Here is a 21,998-nt window from a genome sequence, read left to right on the forward strand (position 1 = left end):
CTGTGGTGAGTAAAGAATGTATGTCACTTTCTGACAGGTCCAGAATCCCCAAGTTATCTTGGGACCTCAAGAGGAAAAAATTTACCCAACTCATAGATATTTGAGGGTTAAACACCCATGGCTGGGCTCGGCTTTAAAAAAGTCTTATCTGAAATTCCTTCTATGGAACAGAGTTCCATCAAAGCCAATTTAAAAATAGCTTATGTGGAAAATAATTATTCTTGCTGCACTTTATACAAATTATCAGGCCAAGTATAATAAAGCAAATTGGTCTTACTATGATTTGTCTTTAGTAAAAATGGGAAAGTGGAGAGAGAAATATTATATTTCAAGAACCATGGTACACTTATTAAATTCTAGTCTCATTAGTTGTTTTTACATTTGTTTCTGCAATTTAGGCTAACCCTGCTTATTCCTGTGAACCACATAATGATCTCTGACTGTTGCTCAGAAGAAACAAGAGGGATGGGTAATGTAAAAATCTGGATCAGTATTCTAATTCTGGGCACATTACAATAGCTAATAACCCCATATCAGCTTAGTTCCAACAGTTGCCCAGTTCATGAAAAGCCTTCTAACTCAGTTTACTTGGAATAACTTTACTTATTTTGCTTTACTCTTGTGAATATATTGCTGTTATAGTCTTTGTGCAGGAATATAGAACAAGCTTACTGAATGTTTTCTTAAACTAAACACTTATTAATCTTCCAGATATCACCTCTTGTCAAAACTTGAGAGTCACAAATGGCCCTCTCCACACTGATATTTTCTGACTGAGCTCCTCTCTACCCTGAACACAAGAGACCCTGATAGTTAGGCAGAAATATCATCACCCCATTCAACCCGAAGAAGTTATGGAAGATGGATTTTCATCCCTCTGCAACCCTTAGAATTAAGGGTTCCCTTATAAAAGGGAGGAGGTAAATGTCAGAGACATGTGAACCAGAGCAACTCCATCTTGTTATTTGTTTTTGTTTGTTTGTTTGTTTTTTGAGACAGAGTCTTGCTCTGTCACCCAGGCTAGAGTGCAGTGGCACAATCTTGGCTCACTGCAACCTCTACCTCCCGGGTTCAAGTGATTTTACCACTTCAGCCTCCCGAGTAGCTAGGATCACAGATGTTCGCTACCACACCAGGCTAATTTTTTGTTTGTATTTTTAGTAGAGATGTGGTTTCACCACATTGACCAGGCTGGTCTAGAACTCCTGACCTCAGGTGATCCGCCTGCCTCAGCCTCCCAAAGTGATGGGATTACAGGCGTGAGCCACAGCACCCAGCCACAACTCCATCTTAAATAGGAGCTGGGTAAAATGAGGCTGAAACCCACTGGACTGCATTCCCAGATGGTTAAGGCATTCTAAGTCACAGGATGAGATAAGAGGTCACCACAAAATACAGGTCATAAAGACCTTGCTGATAATACAGGTTGCAGTGAAGGAGATGGCCAAAACCCTCCAAAACCAAAATGGCTATGAGAGTGACCTCTGGTAGTCCTCCCTGCTACACTCCCACCAGCACCATGACAGTTTACAAATGCCATGGCAACATCAAGAAGTTAGCCTATATAGTCTAAAAAGGTGAGGCATGAAGAATCCACCCCTTGTTTAGCATATCATCAAGAAGTAACCATAAAAATGGGCAACCAGCAGCCCTCAGGGCTGCTCTATGGAATAGCCATTCTTTTATTCCTTTACTTTTTTAACAAACTTGCTTTCACTTTGCACTGTGGACTTGCCCTGAATTCTTTCTTGCACGAGATCCAAGAACCCTCTTCCGGGGTCAGGGTTGGGATTCCCTTCCTGTAACAAATGTACTTCTGAATGTACTCTACTGGGGGATGGGTAAATACATTGTACTATATCTGTACAATGGGATATTACTTGGTAATAAAAATGAACAAAGTACTGATACATGCTACAACATGGATGGATCTCAAATGCATTACACTAATTGAATAAGCCAGACATGAAGCTCTAATATTGTGTTACTCCGTTTATATAACATTCTGACAAAGGAAAACTATAGGGACAGAGACAAATTAGTAATTGTCAGGGGGTAAAGGCTTAACTGAAAAAGGCTAGCACCTGTGTGTGTGGTGTGTGTGTGTGTGTGTGTGTTGTGTATGTGTGTGCATATGGGTTGACAGAAATATTCTGTATTTTGATTGTAGTGGTGTTATACTACTCCGTATTTATCAAAACACACGGAACTTGATACCAAAAACACACAATTTATTGCATCCATATTAAAAAATAAATCTGAATAAGGTAGCAATAAAATATTCTAAGTTCAAAAACAATTTTAGTTGATATTTCATACTTCTTGGACTCCTTGAGAAGTTTGGAGATGAAAAAGCAAACAAAACAAAAGTAAAATACAAAAATCTTTTTCCTCGACCTTAAATTTCACAATCTAATGAACAAGATAAACTTGAAGGGAAAAATATAAAAAGCTTTATGTTGAGATAAAAATATAAAAAGCTACCTCTAGAAGAGGTAGCACAATCTCAACATAAAGGTATGCACAATCTAAAGTACGTGAAAGATCAATTATTACTGGAATAGGTGTTCCCTTCCGGGTCAATTTTACCTAACATACATTCTTATAGTGGTTAACTTTTGCTGCTAAAACAAAACCAGCTCCCCAAAAGTAAAAGCAGCTGGGGTTCCCATGGCTGCCTCAATGGCTCTCCATCCTAAGGTACAGCGTGAGGCTAGGGGTGCTGTAGCCCCTCTCCTCTTCCACTTCATTATCCGAACCACTGTTATTCAGCAAGGTGTGGCCTCTAACCCTGCCATTCTGTCTCTTTTCCCTATAGCTGTACTGATTCCACAGTGGATAAGACATTCTCCTCTCAAGAACTCATGGTTTTGGGGTGTGTCAGTGGGATATCAAGTAAAGTGAACAGCTTTTGGAGACCACAAAAGGGGCAAGGTTTATTTCTTTATCTATGATGGATATATAGATTTGATAGTTTTTAAAAATGGCTAAACTGAACTACTCGTGAGCTTTTTTTTCCATTTTTCCCATCCCCTGGGAGCCCACTGAGCAGCTCCCTCCCTGCCTTATCTCACCAGCTATAATAATGAGCTCCAGGGGGACCTTGCTACTGCCTTTGAAGTAACACATTTCTCTGAATGTCTTTGAAATTTCTCTTCGTACATTGTTTGTTTCTGGTTTACTCTGTCTTCTTGTAGAGGGGGGTCTGACAGTTGTTGCAGGGAGGGGGAGGTCCAGGATGACAGCTCAGGAATGTGTAAATTGAACAAAACAAAAACACAAACAAAACAAAATAAGAAAGAAAGAGAGGAAGAAAAAAAAGACTTCCCCACCCACTGCCAGAGCAGGAATGTAAGCACTTTCACTGGAGTTGCTGAAGCATCTTGCAGGCTGCAGGCAGAGAATGACAGCCAAGGACAGATGCAGCTGGGATGCCTGAAGCTGTCACAGAGGAAGTGGCCTGCTGGAGACAGGTTCTAGGGAGAGCAGAGGGACAAGCCCAGGGGAGGAGCAGAGAGGCAGAGCAGGAGAGGGACTCTGCCCTCTACTCCACTCCCCAGGATTTTAAAAGCATAAGAATCCTGAGGCTGAAATAGTTTAGGCTCCCCACATGCCAAGCAGAGAATACACAGCACATCTGTTTTGATGTGTATACTTTCTACATGGAAAGACCTAAAAAAATTTTTGAAAGTTCAGGAGAGGGGAGATTAGATTTAGCATTCAGGAGACCCAAAAGGTTATAAAATGCAGGAAGAAACCTGGTAGAACCTTGATTTAGCCATCTACTAACACTCAGGATGAAAGAATTAAATTTCACTCTACGGGGAATTAATCAGCCACTATCTCCAGTTGATTAGATTGCAACTTGATGGTGCAGTAGTGGGAATATAAAGAAAACCAGATTGCATTGGCTCTTGAAACATGAAGAGGGCAATCCCCTCCCCGGAAATCCAGTGTGTAATAAAAAAAACAGACTGACAAAGTCAGCGCAATGTTATTTGGCTTTATTTTCATAAAAATACTTGTCTGAGGAGACCATTAGATTTGGAAATGAGGGTTAGAGGTCAGGGGCCCTCAGGGAAACTTGTGATGCTCTAGCAGAGTAGCAGAAGGCAGAGTGCAACTTCCCCAGTTGAAAGGACACTGGGAGTTTTTACTTCTGCTTTTCTGGGCTCCTTCGGAACATTTGCCTGTGCTTTTATAATTACATCTCTGACTCATATCTGAACTTGGATTCCTGACTTCCCTCATCCTTGCCCTACACACTTAATTAAATTGTATAATCATCCTTGACTCTTCTAACTTCTCCTTCTTGCCCTTCTGACCCAGTCAGTCTCCAAGTCTTTATTTTTCTTTTGTGAGGTTTTTTTTTTTTGTTTTTTGTTTTTTGTTTTTGCTATCACTTCAAGTCCCTATCACCACCTATTTAAACTCTGTCAACACCCTTTAAATGTTCTCTCCCTAGCTCCCTCCTACCATTTACCCCTCCTCAATGTAGCTGGGGGAGCATTTTCAGTTGTGTTCTTTTGCCTCCCCCTCCCCATCTGAAGGTCAGGTCCATGTTTACACCCTTCTTTTTATTAGACCAGGGATCATGGATTACAGCTGAGAATTTCTAAAGTCTCATTAGGGTGGAGACCAGAGAACAAAAACAGATTTTTTTTAGCTCACATGGAATATTCACAAAAATTAAATTTGTAACAATTACAGAGAGAAAGGCTCAAACAATTCCAATGAATCAACATCAGAATATGTTCCCTAACTCTACTGAAATAAAGTTAGAAAAACAATAATTTTAAAAAGAGCCAAAAATGTTACCTAGTCCTGAAACTAAAAAGCCTGCTATTAAATTACCCTTGGGCTTAAGCAGAAATCATAAGAGAAATTATAAGATACTTAGAATTGAATGACAACAATATCTCTGCATATAAAATCATGCAGGGCACAACTAAAGCAGAAATCAGAGGAAAATGTATAACTTTAAATACACTGACCAGAAAGTATAAAGACATTGAAATAAAATGAGCCATGAATTCTATTAGATTCATTGAAAGAGAAGAACAGACCAAACTGAAATAAAGAGATAATTATTAATAAAGTAGGCAGAAATCAAGAAACATTGAACAAAAATACAGTAATGAGTATGATTAAAAGCTAAAGCTACTTTGTTTAGGACTAAACAAATATCCAATAAGAGTGAGGAAAGAAAAAAGACAATATTTTCTTTCTTTTCTTTTTTTTTTTTTTTTTTTGAGACAAGGTATCACTTTGTTGCCCAGGCTGAAGTGCAATGGCATGATCTCAGCTCACTGCAACCTCCGCCTCCTGGGTTCGAGCGATTCTTGTGTTTCAGCCTCCAGAGTAGCTGGGATTACAAGTATGCACCACAACATCTGGTTAATTTTTGTATTTTTTGGTAGAGATGGGGGGGTTTCACCATATTGACCAGGCTGGTCTCGAACTCCTGACCTCAAGTGATCCACCCACTTCAGCCTCCCAAAGTCCTGTGATAACAGGCATAAGCCACTGCGCCTGGCCCCTGACAATATTTTCAATTATATGAAATACAAAATGAAAATTTAGACATAGCCAGAAATAGCACAGCAATTAAGAAAAGAAAAAAAAATACTACAACCAACTATTCACTAATACGTGTGAAAACACAGATGAGCTATCTATCTGAAAAAATATATAAATTACCGTGGCTGATTATTCTTTCTATAAACATTCACAACTGCTTCCAGAAGCTTGCCACTCCTCCATGGAAGCAAAGTCTATTTCCACTCCTTTGAACCTGGGCAGGTATGTGCCTGATCTGAAGAGTAGAATGTGGCTATAGATAGCTATGGGAATTCCCATGCTGGGTCTTTCTCTTGCTCTGAGAAAACCACCATCATGTTGGAAGTCAAACTAGCTGATTTAGGAAGAATACATGGAAAAACCAGATGGAGAGGCCCGCAGGGAAAAGAACAGAGGCCTTAGCTGAAAGCTGGCATCTATAGTCAAATATGTGAATAAACGAGCCTTTGGCTAATTTCAGCCCCTAGTCTTCAATTCTTCCAGCTAAGGAGCATCATCATTCAGGGACAAGCCATCCCACCATAATCCTGTCTGAACTCTTTACCCACGGAATCTTTGAGGGAAAAATAATTATTTTTCACCCCTGTTTGGGGGTAATTGGTTACACGGCTATAGTAATTGGAACAATTGCCAAACCTGGCACAAAATTAGAAAATAGAGTTGATCAATAACCATTCAAAAACTTCAAGTGACAATTGAAAGCAACTTGCTACCTCCAAGCAAATCCCAGAGCCAGAGAATTTTACAAGAAAATAAAAACTTGGAACAAAACCTTATTCTTGTCCTACACAATTGTTCAAAGATATAGAAAACAAAACAAAATTCTAGCTCTAAAGATTTTAAAACTAGGGTAAGGTGTGGTTGCTCACGCCTAATCCCAGCACTTTGGGAGGCCGAGGTGAGCAGATCACTTGAGGTCAGGAGTTCGAGACCTGCCTGGCCAACATGGCAAAACCTGGTCTCTACTAAAAATACAAAAATTAGCTGGGCATAGTGGCTCATGCCTGTAATCCCAGCTACTCAGGAGGCTGAGGCAGGAGAATCACTTGAACCCGGGAGGCAGAGGTTGCAGTCAGCCAAGGTCATGCCACTGTGACACTGCACTCCATCCTGGGCGACACAGTAAGACTCTATCTCAGAAAAAAAAAAAAAAAAGTAAAGGCAGTACAAAATATTAACAATTTCACTTAAGAGCATAGATGAGCAAATCCTAAATAATAGTTATCTGACAAAATTGGAGAGACTGCTAAGAAAATAAATTCATCAAGCAATATTGATCCTGAGACAGAAACGATTGTTTAACCTCAGAACATCCATCAACATAAGGCATCCTATTAGTGGCCTAAAGGAGGAAACAAAGAGTCATATATATTTTTTCAATAAATGTAGAAAAATGACTTTTGATTTAGTTTAATACACACTTATAAGCAAAACTAAACAAACCAAAAATCTCTCAAATATTTGGACTACTAAGGCACTTCTAGAACTTTATAAAGAGTATATGCCAAATCTATAGTAAATATTCTGCTAAAAGAAAATTCATTGTATGCATTTTCTCAGAGATCTGGAAAAAAGATAAATATGCCCATTAACCCTGTCCATGTTTGATATAGTACTAGAACTGCTAGCAAATACAAAAGCACATGAAAAAAAAAAAAGTGAGAAAAGTGAGAAAAAAATAGCACAAACCTGTAAGTATTTGCAAATGTATGCTCATTTACATAGGACAATCAACAGATTTTTTACATAAACCAGAACTCAAAATAAACTTCTGAAATACTGATGAGTAAGATCAACTTGCACATCCTAATAGCATTCATCTAAACCACTAATAGCCAATTTAGAAATATAATAGAAATTAAGAACCCCTCATAATAACCATAAAAGAAAGTACCTAAAAATTATCTTGATCAAAAGGGCACAAAGTATTCACAAAGAGAAATTTTAAACTCTATTATATGTCATAAACATAAACTGAAATACCAGTTGATACCTTGTTCATGAATTAGATACCTTAATATTGTAAAGGTGTGTACTATCGATAAACTAATTTCAAAGTTAAACATAATTCTCAAGAAAAATACCAGGAGGATCAGCAGAAGTATTTTAAAGAAATTCAACAAATTTATTCAAGAATGTATACAAAAATTAAAATCGTAGATTACTAAGTTCATTTTCAAAAAGTAGACCAAAGAAAACCTGACAGTATTAAGACACATTATAAAACTATAATAATAAAAACAACATGAAACTGCCACAGAAATAAACAAATAGACCAAAGGAGATAGAATATTTATAAAGAGTTCTATAATCCATAGAGGAGCTATAGACATAACAAAACAGTAATGAAATCTATAAAGGAATAATTATGTAAAAAATATTTGGGAGAGATAGATTCATTTATGGAGAACGACAAGGTTGAACCCCCTACCATATACTATACACAAAGGTGAATTTCAAACATGTGGAAACTAAAGGAGTAATGCTAATACAATAAACTAAGGAAATACACTGGTTACCTTGGAGTGAGTACATAATGGTTAAACAAGACTCCGAAAGCACAAACTACAAAGAAAATCATAAAATAATTGTTGGCTTTGACTATATGTAAATTAAGTATTTATGTTCACCATATGTTACTATTTGTAAAATTGAAAGGTGATATGCTTTGAGAAGATAGTTCTGACATTTAAAATCTTGAAAAGATTAATATAAAGAACATTCAAGAAATTCCAGAAAATCAACTACCCAAAGGAAAGAAAATAAAAAATGGACAGAGAATTCACAAATAAGGTTCACAGAATGAGAAACCTTGAAGTATGACAGGAATACAATTAATCAGGAAAATACAATCAGAAAATAAAACTACCTCGAGATACGAATTTGTACCTACTTGACTGGCAAAAAATAAAAAGTTGAATAATAAGTATTGATAAGAGTCTAAGGAAATGGGATGTTTACTGGTAGAAATGTGTAATATAGATCTACAAAACTAAAGGACAATCTCCCAGGACTTAGTACAATTATTCATGTGTCTAATCTAGGAAATTTCAGTGCCACTACTGGATATATACGTTAGCACAGCAGTCTTCCAAATGAGGTACTTGTACACAAAATCTATTCAAGGAGGTATGCAAGCACAAATAGTTTCTACTGAATCAATTTTCCAATCCTCAGATTTCTTACATTCTTAAATTAATTGGTTGGCTTTCTTGTTTCCCACTCTTTCTTTCATTATTTCTCTTCCTTCACTTTAAGAAGAAAGGCCTACCATTTACCTGTCCAAAATCTTACATTGTTCCAGGATTCAAACGCCTGAATCCCTGATTCAAACAAAGAGACAATGTGAAGTCTGCAGGGTGATATGTGACATCAGAAGCAGGAAAGTTTGGTCAATGTTAGAGCATTCTGAATTCAAATGTGTCAAACAGTGTAGCAAAAGGAGTGAAGTTATAGCTCTTTCTACGTCTTCATTTCTTCCACCCTTGACTACTGACAAAGAACGCATAGGTTTTGAGGAAGCAAAACTAGTAAAGCGTTGCTAAGAAAGATGAGGGTACCTTACTTCATCGAGGTAAATACAGGACTCAAAAAGAAAGACTCTGTGCCTTTTCTACCTGTTTTAGAATTATATTGTTTGAAACTTGTAAGAAGCACGCAGGATAATCTTAATCTGTTATGAAAGACTCCCTTGTCACCGTTCCGTTGTGAGAAAGGGCTAGGGGAGTACCTGTACTTTCAATCACCCTTCTCTATCTCTGTTGCATATTTTGCATGATTTCAAGAAAAAAGAAGGAAAAAAGTTCCATCTTTACTTCTCACAGATGAACACTACATTGTTAAGTAAAACAAAAGAAAACACAACTTTTATGAAACGTGTTTTTATTTTTTGAACATTTATTTAGATCCTTAGGAGAAAAATAACTTTTATGAAGTCATTTCTATGAGGTTAACTTGTATGAAGTTCATTAACTTTTATGAAGTTTATGTAGGCTATGAACCCATTTAAGACTTGGAGACATGATTACATGAAATAACGAAAAAGTTAAATGTATAAATTTTGTCATAGTGAGTTCTGATAAGATGATCAATAACATAATTTCAAACATATTTCATTAGAATAAAAATCATGAGGAAAATGAAATGGGAACAAAAGTGCAAGAGAAAAAAGAACAATGTAAGATTGGTGACAGTTTAAAAAGCTTTTATTCAGTGAAGATGCAAATCGTATGGTGTGCTTAGATTGTTTGTTCTAAATGCCATTTATGTTTTGACTAACAGAACAAAACAAAACAAAAAACTTGTCTGTTGGAAAAATGGCTGATTCTGGGTCTGCAGCAGAGCATTTATAAGGTGAGGCTTGCCATGCCTGAAAGAAAGGTGATATTAAAGACCACTAGGGTCACATCAAAAGAAGACAAAAGCTAACAGAAAGAAATTTCTATGGTCAAAAATGGAAAAATCTGAGCACCAAAAAGAATAATGACCACAATCGATTGAAACACATATAAAGTCTAGAAGTTCACAGTGACCAAAAAAAAATTCATTTATAACCATGGAAGGTTGCCAGGGCAACAACTCATTATTCTGAAAACTGATTAAGGGAACACATCAAGTACTTGTCTTGTCTTTTCTACTGACCTGTTTTTCAAAGTAACCAAATAGTTGATAAGGAAAAAATTTTTATAGGAAAGCAGGAATAATAAATGCAGAATGATAGAAAGTCACTATTTTGCAACCTTAATGGAATATTGGATCTGATCACAGGCAGCTGCTGAAACTATTTAACTGACTGATGATGAATTTTAAATGGATGGATCAGGCTGACAGCACCTGAACCACTGATCAATCTTAACATCACTAATAATACGGCAAAGTGCCTCATGATATGATATGACAGAAAATACTAAGCATCACCCATGAAGTATTCTTGCAAACAAAACAAAATAATCCTTAATTCTATCAATTCACTAGATCTAACTTTCAGTTTATGGGATATGTAGGGGAAAGAAAAACATGTTAAACAACACCATGAAGACACAGTTGTGACAACACAATCATATCTAAGACAAAAGATGCAACTTCTCCCACAAATAAGTGCCATGGAAAACTTAAAAAAAGAAATGTTACAGAGTAAAAGAGACTCAAAAGGAATCAATCAAATATAACACATGGACCTTTTTTGGATCCTAATTCACATAAGCCAGCAGAAAAAAAAGAAGCAGAAAAAATTGAGCATATATTGAATATTAGACACTATTAAGGGAATATTATAAATTATGCTGATTGTGACATAACAGTTTTGTGGTTTTTGCAGTCAGATATACATTTAAAAATATTTGTGAATGAAGTAGTATGATGTATGCAATTTACTTTGAAATACTGTAACAAATAGGGGGAAAATGCCTAAGAATGGCAGAATGGTGACTTTAAGTTAGGTAATTGGTAAATGGACGTTTGTTATACTATTCTACTTTTGTACATTCTTAAAAATTCATAATAAAGAGGGTTTTTAAAAACATATTTAAAAAAAAATCTTGGCTGGGCGCAGTGCCTCACACCTCTAATCCCAGAACCTTGAGAGGCCAAGGTGGGAGGACTGCTTGAGTTCAGGAGTTCAAGACCAGCCTGGGAACATAGTGAGATCCTCATCTCCAAAAAGCTAAAAAAAAAAAAAAAATAGCTAGGCATGTTGGTGCACCTGTAGTCCCAGCGACTTGGGAAACTGAAGTGAGAGGATCGCTTGAGCCCAGGCTGTCAAGGCTGCAGTGAGCCGTGATCGTGATCACGTCAGTGCACTCCAGCCTGGGTTACAAAGTGAGACCCAGTCTCTAAAAAAAAATTAAAATAAAATAAAAACTTCTCGGCCAGGTATGGTGGCTCACGCCTGTAATCCCAGCACTTTGGGAGGCCGAGGCAGGTGGATCACAAGGTCAGCAGTTCGAGACCAGCCTGGCCAACATGGTGAAACCCTGTCTCTACTAAAAATACAAAGATTAGCAGGGCATGGTGGCAGACGCCTGTAATCCCAGCTACTTGGGAGGCTGAGGCAGGAGAATTGTTTGAACCCAGGAGGTGGAGGTTGCAGTGAGGCGAGATCTCGCCATTGCACTCCAGCCTGGTCAATAGGGTGAGACTCCATCTCAAAAAAAAACAAAAACAAAACAAACAAAAATCACTTCTCTTGTAATCAGATTCCACTGGATACACTTAAAGAATAATGAAACATTTTTATTTTAAAATATTTACAAATGTTAGAAATCATACTTTAACAACTATTTAAATTTATAACAAAACAGGTTTTGATGTGAAATTAATGTGCAAGGAACTATATAATTTTAAAAATTCTTTTTAGGGGTTCATGAGCATAAAACTTCGAAGACTTGCCCTAGATAACTTCTTTCTAGATACATGACCCTTCTTGCCGACTGAGTCAACATCTCAAGATAGAGATTAAAAAAAAAAAAAAATCCACTCAGCTTTTATCTGTAAAATGAAGAGCTAATTTTGCTGGGGCATTCTGGGAAATATTTTCTTCTATAACAAAACAAAATACACTTTGGGAGGCCGAGGCGAGTGGATCACGAGGTCAGGAGTTCGAGACCAGCCTGGCCAAGATGGTGAAACCCCGTCTCTACTAAAAATACAAAAATTAGCCAGGTGTGGTGGCATGTGCCTGCAGTCCCAGCTACTTGGGAGGCTGAGGCAGAGAATTGCTTGAACCCGGAAGGCGGAGGTTTCAGTAAGCCGAAATCGTGCCACTGCACTCCAGCCTGGGCAACAGAGCAAGACTCTGTCCCCCAAATAAAATAATAAAATAATAATAATAATAAAGTGCTGTCTTGATGCCCTCACTGACTCCTACACCCCTGTCTCCTTCGTGGCCTTTGTGTAATATCATATGAGGACACGATGCTAGAAACTGCTGCAGCCATCCAGTGAAAAGAGAGAACCATTGTCTAAGGATGCCAGAAAAAGTTTGAGATTATATTCTGTAGAAGCAGAACTAAGACAGAGTTTGGGGATGAACATATGTGATAGACAAGTGGAGGGAGCAGGATTGGGCAGAGGAAGAAGACAAACTAATTCAGACCCAATAAATCCTCAACTAAAATACAGTGAGCTCTTGAGCAAAGAATTTCCAATTATAGTGTCCTGTTGTGGGCCACACCTTTAAACACTAGGGTCAGCCTTGCTCAGTCACCAGAGGGCAGCTTCCCTAAGAGTATGCCTGGGGGCAGGGTGGCTCCCTGCAGCCGAGGCTGACACTGCAGCAGCTCACAGCTGCAGGCTTTCTACCCAATGCATGCCTCACAGTTGGTTTGTAAGTACTTCCTTGAAGGGAGGGATCTCAGTAGCAGCACAGTACAACCTGAGTTCTGGTAGCATTGTTGAGTCTCTGAACAAATTCCAGGACACCTATTTCTGATGTTAGTCAGGCAGGCAAGGTGAGTTGAGGGTAGGAATGGTTTGAGGTAGAGGATGGCAGACTAACCCTGACTGCAGCTTGCCATGCAGGATGGGTGTCATAGTAAAAGGTAAACAAGGCTCAAATCCCAAAGAGCCCTCTCTGTATTATTTACTAAGTGGTTAAAACCATAGCCTAAAATGTTAAGGTCAATGAGGACCTACATGGAGGGGTTTTCAGGAGGAGAGTCAGGTCAGATTTTCAGTTTTGATAATCGCTTGGCCTGCTATGAATTTGAATGATCCAAGGCCTGGGGCAGGTAGAACATGAAAGAGATAAGGTAAGGGTAGTGGCACTAAGAATACAAATGAGTAAATGTAGCTTGTACCGAATATTTATTTCACACAGTAGCTGACCAAAGGTGCAGACATAATTGGAGTAACACTTGTTAGAAGAAAAATACTGTGAGTTACTAGTGAGTCCGGAATAGTAATACTTGAAAAAGAAAACATGGTTCAGCAAGTTATGGGTCAAGTGATAATCAGGGTGACTTCTTTCTTTATTATTATTTTCCAAAACTCTGGAAAAATCGTATGTGAAAATAAATGCATGCATATTGGAAATTTCTAGTAAGGACCTGCTAGAGCTAAGCAGCCTGGGTTGAACTAAGCCTGAGTTTAAGACCAGCTTTGTCATTTGCAAGGTGCTTACTCTGGGAAAAGTTGCTTACTTCTCTTATTCTTAGTACCTACATCATAGGCTTGTTGGAAGATAAAATGAAAAAAAGGGCTGTAAAGCACGTGATATGTAATAAATCCAAAACAAATGGAATCTGTTCTTATTACTTTTGTCATCCTGAACAGATGAAAGTAAAACTTGAAAAGATCAACAAATTGGCTCTACATGAGACAGATTTATCAACATTTAAAAGCATAGCAAAACAAAGAAAGATTTAGAACAATGAATACACAAATGTCCCACTACTTATAAAGAAAGGGTGACTCTAGAATTCATAAATCTGAATAAAGTACCCATGAACCTTCCAGATATGTTCTAAGAAATGATTTGTATTTACAAGTGCCATACAAATTTAATATGCTAGTATCATTTAATTATGTCCAATTAAATTATATTATCTATTTTCACACCAGACCCCCTTTTCTTATGTTTTCATGATAAATGTATGTTCTAGAAAACTTGTTTGCTAAGGACAATTTAAATTTAAAGTAAAGCTATTTATTTACAAACTTCAGGCTGTGTACAAAATTGATAAGATAGCAACGTGATGTACTGGGCTTTGAACAGGAAAAACAAGTTTCTGATACAATTAGCAGAGCATGCCTTGGCACTATTTTCCAAAGAGAATAAACCATACATTCTTTTTACTGCCTTCCTTATGTCAGCCTAGAGCAAGGGCTGCAGAGATGTGCACTCTGGATTCATATATTGTTTATACTATTGTATGTTTGATTAACATTTTAGGCCAGTGTACAGAAAAAGGACAGATGACATTTACAGATGATAAAGTAGGAGGCAAAAACCATCATAGAGGATTCAAAAAATTTTTGACAGCCTGGCAAATGGGTTCAAATTAGTATGACGTGATTAAGTATGGATTAATGTAAAATCTTGCATTAAGTTTTTAGATTTAACTTATAGAATGGGGAAAAACTTGATTTAATATATTTTCTTTGAAAAAAAATGGCTGATTTTGTTGACTACATGACAAAAGGAAATAATAGTGCTGTATTATCATTAAAAAAAAAACACTATTATCTTCTTGGAATACACTGATATAATAATTCACTAAGTCTACCAAATGGGTTGTCTATTATATGCTTGGCATTGTGACAATCTCTATAAGAAATTCAAAGACTGTGTAGGAGAGCATAAAGTTTACTAGATCAAGAAATAAAATTGTCCCATTGTGCCTGTCATATAATTGTGGAAAGCCTACTATGGATAAGGTATGCTGATGCTTGTGGGATTGCAACTGATAATAAAACATAGCTCCTACCTATAGAATATGTAATTTATTACAGATCATAGGACAGGGAAATTTCTTTCTTAAATTTTGAGATTTTAGGCTTATTACAAAGTACTATTGCTCAGGAAAATCCAATATTCTGTAGATGAATTAATCATATATTTACATATCCATACACACATAATACATATGTGTCTGCAGAGAATTCATAGTTAAATATTCATAGGGTTTACCTCTGATGGCTATGAAGAGGACTGCTGCTTCCTCTTTGTGTTGGTATGGATAAAAATCCCCAAAGAATTCCATATGTCAGTAGGTCTGTTTCTCAGCAACTCTAGCCTCTCTGATTGCCCCATATCTTTTCTCCTTCTTTTTTGGTCATCAGTTTTTGTTTTAACAACCTTAACTTTGGCATTGAGTTTGATTTTGAGAAGAGGGGTTTTAATCAATTAAGTAATTTATCCAATTAATTGACAAGACAAAGTCCTAGGAAGTGAGATAATTTTCCCCATCTTGCAATGTAATATATATTTTTTAAATTCCTGAGTGACAACTCTATAAGGTCATCTGAGTTCTGGCAGCTCCATTTTAATCTTGATTATATACACTTCATGATTTTGTTGTCTTCTTAGATCTTGCTTTTTCAGACCACTCAATACATATGCAAATCCAGTGTGTGACTACTCTGTATACCATTCTCTTTTCACTTTCACTACTTACCTATGTAGATTTACTGATAATCCAATATCATTGTCATGCTTAACTTACAAAATTGTGCAACTATCCCTACAATTAAATTATACATTATTTTTTAACACTTGAAAATAATAATAGCCAACATTTATATAGTGTTTATTATATACCTGGCACTATTCTAAATCCTTAACATGGAATAACTCATTTAATCTCCTGTCTTAGTCTGTTTAGGCTACTATAGCAAAATACCTTACACTGAGTAATTTATAAAGGACAGAAATATATTAGTCACAGTTCTGGAAGCAGAAATGAACAAGGTCAAGTTGCCAGCAGAGTCAGTGTCTGATGAGGTTTTGCTCTCTGCTTCAGAGATGGTGCCTTCTATGTGTCCTCATATGGTGGAAGTGAGGAACAAGTTCCCTCAGGTTTTTTTTAATAAGGTGATTAATCCCATTCATCAGGGCTCCACTCTCATGATCTAATCAACTCCCATAGGCCCTGCTTCTTAATATTATTGCATTGTTATTCATAAGTTTTAACATACTTGAAACTTATGAATCTAGGCTGAGTGCAGTGGCTCACGCCTGTAATCCTAGCATTTTGGGAGGCTGAGGTGGGCAGATCACTTAAGCCCAGAAGTTCGAGATCAGTCTGGGAAACATGGCAAAACCCCATCTCTACAAAAAATGCAAAAAATTAGCTTAGTGTGGGGGCACACATCTGTGTTCCTAGCTATTTGGGGGGCTGAGGTGGGAGGATTGCTTGAGCCTGGGAGGTGGAGGCTGCAGTGAGCTGATTGTACCACTGAACACCAGCCTGGGTGACAAAGTGAGACCCTGTCTAAAAAAAAAAAAAAAGAAAGAAAAAAGAAATTTATCTATCTCCTGCAAATTCATATGTTGAAACTTATGAATAATAATGCAGTGTTGAAACATATTACTCATAAACTTATAAATAATAAGTTTATAGATATACTTATTCATAAGTAAGCTTACGTATAATACATTTCAATGTATGTAAACTAAACTTATGAAAAATAAGTTTAACATATGAATTTGCAAAGGCACATATACTGAACCACAGCATCCCCCAACAAGCGTATCATGTAGTTACTATTATTAATTCCAAATGCTATTAAAATAATCTCTGTTATATTTTGAGCAGAGATTCTCTCACAACAGAATTTTATTGAAAAATTTAAGAGAAAAGATTGTTTTTACTAAGGGCATAGAGAAGACTTCCTGGGGAAAATGTCATATAATTTGACAGATGTTGAAATTTTTAAATAAGGAAAGATTAAATACAGTGGGGAAGAATGGGAAAGTGAAATGCACATCCCAGTAGAGCTAAACATGAATAAAGCACAGAAGTCAGGAAAGGCAAGATGCACTGAGAAGGCATCCATAAAGCAGAAAGAAAATCAGTCACCAAGAGCTGGGATGCCATGTTGAGGACTTTGGGTTTTATTCTCTAAAGAAACAAAAGGTCTCTTAGGGACAGAATAATTTCTCCCTTAATATGTAAAATAAGAGAAAAGACACTTAGCTGGCCACCACGTCACACCTAAGTTAGATCCATCCTTCTTGGAAATTCTTACTGATATGTGGGAGCTAAGCTATGAGGACGCAAAGGCATAAGAATGATACAATGGACTTTGGGGACTTGGGGGGAAGGGTAGGAGGGGGGCGAGGGATAAAAGACTACAAATAGCATGCAGTGTATACTGCTTGGGTGATGAGTGCAACACAATCTCACAAATCACCACTGAAGAACTTACTCATGTAACCAAACACCACCTGTACCCCAATAACCTATGGAAAACTAAAAAAAAAAAAAAAAAAAAAAAAAAACTCCCTCTCCCTCTCCCTCCTCTCCCTCGTCTCCCTCTCCCCACGGTCTCCCTCTCCCTCTCTTTCCATGGTCTCCCTCTGATGCAGAGCCAAAGCTGGACTGTACTGCTGCCATCTCGGCTCACTGCAACCTCACTGCCTGATTCTCCTGCCTCAGCCTGCCGAGTGCCTGCGATTGCAGGCGCGCGCCGCCACGCCTGACTGGTTTTCGTATTTTTTTGGTGGAGACGGGGTTTCGCTGTGTTGGCCGGGCTGGTCTCCAGCTCCTAACCACGAGTGATCCGCCAGCCTCGGCCTCCCGAGGTGCCAGGATTGCAGACCGAGTCTCGTTCACTCAGTGCTCAATGGTGCCCAGGCTGGAGTGCAGTGGCGTGATCTCAGCTCGCTACAACCTCCACCTCCCAGCCGCCTGCCTTGGCCTCCCAAAGTGCAGAGATTGCAGCCTCTACCCGGCCGCCACCCCGTCTGGGAAGTGAGGAGCGTCTCTGCCTGGCCGCCATCCCATCTAGGAAGTGAGGAGCGTCTCTGCCCGGCCGCCCATCATCTGAGATGTGGGGAGCGCCTCTGCCCTGCCGCCCCGTCTGGGATGTGAGGAGCGTCTCTGCCCGGCCGCCCCGTCTGAGAGGTGAGGAGCCCCTCCGCCCGGCAGCCGCACCATCTGAGAAGTGAGGAGTCCCTCCGCCCGGCAGCCACCCCGTCTGGGAAGTGAGGAGCGTCTCCGCCCGGCAGCCACCCCGTCCGGGAGGGAGGTGGGGGTCAGCCCCCCGCCCGGCCAGCCGCCCCGTCCGGGAGGGAGGTGGGGGGGTCAGCCCCCCGCCCGGCCAGCCGCCCCGTCCGGGAGGGAGGTGGGGGGGTCAGCCCCCCGCCCGGCCAGCCGCCCCGTCTGGGAGGTGAGGGGCGCCTCTGCCCAGCCGCCCCTACTGGGAAGTGAGGAGCCCCTCTGCCCGGCCTCCACCCCGTCTGGGAGGTGTACCCAACAGCTCATTGAGAACGGGCCATGATGACAATGGCGGTTTTGTGGAATAGAAAGGGGGGAAAGGTGGGGAAAAGATTGAGAAATCGGATGGTTGCCGTGTCTGTGTAGAAAGAGGTAGACATGGGAGACTTTTCATTTTGTTCTGTACTAAGAAAAATTCTTCTTCCTTGGGATCCTGTTGATCTGTGACCTTGCCCCCAACCCTGTGCTCTCTGAAACATGTGCTGTGTCCACTCAGGGTTGAATGGATTAAGGGTGGTGCAAGATGTGCTTTGTTAAACAGATGCTTGAAGGCAGCATGCTCGTTAAGAGTCATCACCACTCCCTAATCTCAAGTACCCAGGGACACAAACACTGCAGAAGGCCGCAGGGTCCTCTGCCTAGGAAAACCAGAGACCTCTGTTCACTTGTTTATCTGCTGACCTTCCCTCCACTATTGTCCTGTGACCCTGCCAAATCCCCCTCTGCGAGAAACACCCAAGAATGATCAATAAAAAAAAAAAAAAAAAAAGAAAAGAAAAAGAAGAAGAAGAAAAAAAAAAAAAGGTTCTCGAGTAAACAGTTTGAAGATGGTAAAAATCTTTTGACCTTCAAGTTGCTTCATCTTCGAATGACTCCGTGGCTACTGTCAGTAGCACAGCTGAACTCAGCCAACTCAAGCACATCTTATGCACTTATCAATATACTGAATATTCAAAACCAGGTATTATCCATATTTTTGTTTATTATTAAAATAAAGTTCATATAAACTTATGTAAGGTTTGTCCATAAGAAAGACTGATATTTTCATAAGCATTCCAGAACTTATACCTCCATGTGAGTGGGTCACTTTATGGGTATTATCTTGCACTTTACTGGTGATACTATCTATTGTCAAAACCTTCAGGGAATGGCTGTCAAACCCAGGTTCTAACACAGACAAGATAGGTTGTTTTCTCCTTTATCAGTATATTTTGTTATTGAAGCAAAATGAAATTAAAGTTGGAATTACCCATTCTACTCACTTTTCTTAGTACCAAAATTGCTTTTGACTGTTTGGAAAAATAAAATTCATACCCAAAGTGTAGAGATTTGCTACCTGCCTAAAAATAGCAGCCATCATTATTCAGCACTTAACATATTCTGGGAACTGTGGTAAGTGCTATAGGTATATGATCTATTATGTGTCTTAAGCCATGAGGAAACTTTGATATGGTTGGGTTAAGGATCAATAAAAAGGTCACACAGTTAGACATAATTAAGTGGGGGAAAACAGTCTGCAACATGGGATGTATTTAAAGTTAATGTTTATGTAGCATGGTGGTTAAGAGTTGGTGTCGTGGGTGTTAAGTGTCTGGATTTAGAATCTCGCTCCAACATTTCATGCCTAATCTTAGGGTGGCTGTTTGCAACCTCCCTTGGTTTCCTTGCCTTTAAAACTATGGTAAGATGTGCACTATGCACACTGTGCTTAGCACAGTAGTTGGTGCTGGCTGTTGGGTCTATGGAGCTTCAGCTGAGAAAGGTTGTCTCTGTCCCTCGAGGCCTCCCATCTTTCAGTTGGCCAGACTAGGCTTCTTCCTATGGCAGTCCCGGGGCAGCATTCCAAGACAACCAAAACAAAAGTGGAAGCCTTCCTGATGACTAAGCTAAGAACTTTTACTAATTACTTCCCTACGATCTCTGGGTCAAAGCTTCTCACATGTTCTGCTAAGATTCAAGAGGGAGAGAAATAGAATCTACATTTTGATGGGTGGAGTAGCAGCCACATGGCTAAGACACATGCGTACAAGATAAAAGAAATGGTCGTTTTCTTTTTCTTTCTTTATTATATTATTTTTGCAATCAACTCCAGTAATATTGGGGAGGTGGGACCTTAAAGAGGAGCTACTTTGAGGGCTTTGAGAGATAAATAACAAGATGATTAAATTTGCTTTTAGATGTCTTTGTCTTAAGTGTGGAGAATAGATGGAGAAAGAAAAGACTAGGCATAGAGAATCCAGATGGGATACAATTACAGTAACCCAGGTGATAGATGATGGTGGCCTGAAATAGGTAGTGGCAGTGGGACAGAGGGAGGTGGAAAAATCAAAGTGGACAAAATCAAAAGACTCAGCTGAAAGGACTGACTTTGGGAATAACAAGGTTTGTTAACTTGCTCTCTTTCGCATCACCTGAGTTAAGGAACCTATAGCCAAACTAAATAAAGCCAAAGTACTATAAGCCATAGGTTTAAAAGACATACAAAAAACAAATTAAAGTTAACTGAAAATGGAAAGATTCAGCTGCTGGTGACACTTATGACTGTTCAAGTGTCCAGTGATACAGTGGAATGGTGGAAAATCTATTAAGAATTACTTGATAGCATCCTTTCACAACGCCACTTCCAATAGGACTTTAATTTACATTTTATAAATTATGCAATATTTTATAAAGTAAGTGAAATCTTTTAGTATTCTAAAGTGCAACACTGTATTCTTGGCAGCTTAGAGTTTTGAACATATAATTTAACATTCCCTGATTCAGTAATGAGCTTTCCAAAAGGTGAGACCTGCAGAAATGTTGAAATGAGTTATTCCATCTCCTTGTCAATTTTTTAAAAAGTAATTTTCACATTAAGTACTGTTCACATACAAACCATAATGGGGATGTCTGATATGCCTACAGTAAATGCCTAAAGTAAGTTAACATTTAATCAGAAATGTTTGTTTTAATCCTTATAGAGATATTAAAGGTAAACATTCAGATAGCAATTGAAATGGACTCTATTTGTAAGAAGTGTGTACTTTAAGCCTGGGAGAGGGGAAAGGGTTCCTTGTAAATACCTCATTAAAGCACACTGAGACTCAGTAGGTGGTACTTTTCCAAAGGAGATCAACCCAGGCCCTTTGGGATTTATATAGGCCTGATATGGGCAACTCTGATATGAACAATATAATTTAATTACTTAAATGGAAGATGACCAGTTCCAAGAAACATTAAAGTCATTGTTTTGTAGCATTGCAGACTTGTATTAGATCAAATTAATACAGTCAAGATGTTTTACATAATTGGCACTTAAATATCAGGTGTTAAATAGAAGGTGTACCCTAATCATTTTTGAGCAGTTCTTCTACATTATTTACATCAGATATTTACAGCCTTGCTTCTGTGATATTTCAGTGCATTTCCAATAATCTCCAGAGATGCCTGAATAGTCTCAGTCACAATACTTTTCAATTCACCTAAAATGTACCCTATGGCTTTTAAAGCATAATATGAAGTTTGAAATAAATGAAACTATATAATAAGGCATCTTCTAAAATTTTGCTCTTTATTGCATAGATACTGAGGGTGGGGGGAAGGCAGGGTTATCAGTTACACTTAGAAATCATATTGAACCCAAATTCCATTTTATGTGGATTGAGAATGGAGAGAGAGATGTGGCATTTATATGCCACAAGATAAAGTGCTGGTTTATAGGAAGAAACTTCTCTTCCCATTTTAATGGTTGAAAGATACTTTATGAATGAGGTGAGGAGA

At 38.5% G+C, this 21,998-nt stretch overlaps 1 long non-coding RNA gene across 1 annotated transcript in view, besides 1 other annotated feature; it reads right to left on the reverse strand.

Moving 5' to 3' along the window:
- LOC124909415 (uncharacterized) overlaps positions 1-21,998 on the reverse strand; it is a 274,299-nt gene that overhangs the window by 28,441 nt on the left and 223,860 nt on the right. The gene's annotated exons all lie outside the window — the stretch shown is intronic.
- Positions 11,882-12,749: an enhancer, noted in NCBI's record as "H3K27ac hESC enhancer chr3:116763215-116764082 (GRCh37/hg19 assembly coordinates)". NCBI's record gives its function as "activates a minimal SCP1, AML or CMV promoter by ChIP-STARR-seq in primed H9 embryonic stem cells {active_cell/tissue: H9 hESC(primed)}" and the evidence as "EXISTENCE:reporter gene assay evidence [ECO:0000049][PMID:30033119]".

This window comes from Homo sapiens, chromosome 3 (assembly GCF_000001405.40).
Source record: "Homo sapiens chromosome 3, GRCh38.p14 Primary Assembly".
NCBI classification, from domain to species: Eukaryota; Metazoa; Chordata; class Mammalia; order Primates; family Hominidae; genus Homo; species Homo sapiens.